The sequence below is a fragment of the Homo sapiens genome, chromosome 5 (assembly GCF_000001405.40).
Source record: "Homo sapiens chromosome 5, GRCh38.p14 Primary Assembly".
Classification (NCBI taxonomy): domain Eukaryota; kingdom Metazoa; phylum Chordata; class Mammalia; order Primates; family Hominidae; genus Homo; species Homo sapiens.
The window spans coordinates 181,470,255-181,473,157 of NC_000005.10; the positions used below are offsets into that span (position 1 = coordinate 181,470,255).

The following is a 2,903-nucleotide window of genomic DNA, read 5'->3' on the forward strand; positions in this document are numbered from 1 at the left end:
CCCATCTGTGTAGTTTGCCTTCCCCAGTGTCTCATTAAATGAGGTCACACTGTGTGTATCCTCCTCAGACTGTCTTCTTCCACTTAGCAATGTGCATGCAAGATTCACTCATGTCTTTGTGTGTGTTGATATCTTGTTCCTTTCTATGGCTAAATAGTATTCCATTACATGAATGTAGCACAATTTGGTTATGCATTTTGGGGAGTAGAACCTTCCTCTTCTAACTTTGTTCCAGGGTTGGAGACCTTCAAATTAACTGACAATAGATACATTAGTAGGAGAGACAATACTTGGCTTCTTGTTCCCCAAGTATCATTGTGGGACAAAATTCATCAGATGGCAGGATCCAGTTTACAAAGAGGTAAAAATAGCCCAGAAACAAGAAACAAGACTAGAATCTGATAACTCTCAATGGCTATAGTTTTCCTTTAAAAAAATTTTTTTTGAGACAGGGTCTGGCTCTGTCGCCCAGGCTGGAGTGCAAAGGTGCAATCTCAGCTCACTGCAACCTCTACCTCCTGGGTGCAAACGATCCTCCCTCCTCAGCCTCCTGATTACCTGGGACTACAGGCACATGCCGTCATGCCCATCTAATTTTTGTATTTTTGGTAGAGACGGGGTTTCTACCAAAATATTCGATTTTTTCTGTGGCAGACAACATTTATTTATTTATTTATTTAGAGACAGAGTCTTGCTCTGTCGCCCAGGCTGGAGTGCAGCGGTGCGATCTCGGCTCACTGCAAGCTCTGTCTCCTGGGTTCACGCCATTCTCCTGCCTCAGCCTCCCGAGTAGCTGGGACTACAGGTGCCTGCCATCACGCCCGGCTAATTTTTTATATTTTTAATAGAGATGGAGATTCACCGAGTTAGCCAGGATGGTCTGGATCTCCTGACCTTGTGATCCACCTGCCTCAGCCTCCTAAAGTGCTGGGATTATAGGCATGAGCCACTGTGCCTGGCACAACATTTAAAGTAATAATTGGAATTATGACTCATTACTCTATAGTGGCACATAGCATGGATAAGGAGGACATTGACAAACTTCCAGGAATTTTATATAATTTCTGAAAACATAACATTTTACCCATACAAATATAACACAGGGAAGGTTAGGTATCTCTTTTTATTTGTATCTTCTGTATGGTTTTCCTTATAAAAAATGCAACCTACTTTACTTGCGAAACATGCCCTACTTTTCTTGCATGCTTTGCATAGAGTTGTTTCTAGTTATTCTATTATTTCTAGTAGTTTTATTTACATATATTGATTATAATTTTAATACTTAGTAATCTTTTATTTTCCAGAGAAAACTAGGAAGTAGACAGTTATAAACTGTCATATATTAGCATTCTATAGTAGGTTAGAAAATGTATGAATATACCATCTCCCAACATCTAGAGGGATGTGTTTCCTCATAATACAATTCCTCAGTGTGGCAGAAAAAAACATGTTTATTAACGGGCCAAAATATCTTTAGTCTCTCTGTAAAAACAGGAAGCCAAAAGTATATAAACTTGAATTATTTATGTTCAGTAATTAATGTTTTAGTATTGTATCTTATTTATAAATGGTCTAGATATTTAATGCAAATCTTTTACTTAGCTTAACTTTAAGGTTAAAAATTACCAAAAGTACTTTGGAAACTATTCTTAGGCAGATTTACTGTAGACAAATTATTTTTGAAATAATGTTTTTCGCTTTTCACAAGACGGCACCGAAAGCGAAGGAAGCTCCTGCTCCTCCTAAAGCCGAAGCCAAAGTGAAGGTTTTAAAGGCCAAGAAGGCAGTGTTGAAAGGTGTCCGCAGCCACACGCAAAAAAGAAGATCCGCATGTCACCCACCTTCAGGCGGCCCAAGACACTGCGACTCCGGAGGCAGCCCAGATATCCTCGGAAGAGCACCCCCAGGAGAAACAAGCTTGGCCACTATGCTATCATCAAGTTTCCGCTGACCACTGAGTCGGCCGGAAGAAGATAGAAGAAAACAACACGCTTGTGTTCACTGTGGATGTTAAAGCCAACAAGCACCAGATCAGACAGGCTGTGAAGAAGCTCTATGACAGTGATGTGGCCAAGGTCACCACCCTGATTTGTCCTGATAAAGAGAACAAGGCATATGTTCGACTTGCTCCTGATTATGATGCTTTCGATGTTGTAACAAAATTGGGATCATCTAAACTGAGTCCAGCTGGCTAACTCTAAATATATGTGTATTTTTTCAGCATAAAAAAATAATGTTTTTCATAAGAATGACAACTTAATTAGAATCAAATCTATAAGCTTTAAGATTTTACATTTCTAGTAAGTATAATATTAGCTTATTTGACTAGAACTCAAGCAGAATAGGAATTTATGCTTGTTTTATATTCAATAATGATAATTTTGAAGATATAGTTGTTTTATTACACCAAAAATACTATATTAATCTTATTTAACTAAGTTTTATCCAAATCATGTTAACTTAAGAAACATTTGATCAGTTCCTATATTTCTAGGAGTTTGGTGAATATTTATTTATAAATGCTTATTTTTTTCCAAGCCAAGTTAGAATAGAGCACTTTTAGAGGATTTCATAAATGAATTTTGCAATGCTCTCTGGAGTTAAGAAAATATCACATATACATAACATACATTAATAGATATACAAACACAAATAGAGATTTCATAGCTTTCATCCTGAAATTTCAGCCTTGAATCAGGCATAAATATTCTGATGGTTAATTTCAGACATCTACTTGATCCGACTGAGAGACACACATAGCTGGTCAAACACGATTTCAGCCATGAATCAGGCATAAATATTCTGACGGTTAATTGTAGACATCTACTTGACTGGATTAAGAGACACACATAGCTGGTCAAACAAGATTTCAGCCATGAATCAGGCATAAATATTCTGATGGT

General features: G+C 37.5%; 1 pseudogene; it reads left to right on the forward strand.

Moving 5' to 3' along the window:
* On the forward strand, positions 1,698-2,225 carry RPL23AP45 (ribosomal protein L23a pseudogene 45; annotated as a pseudogene).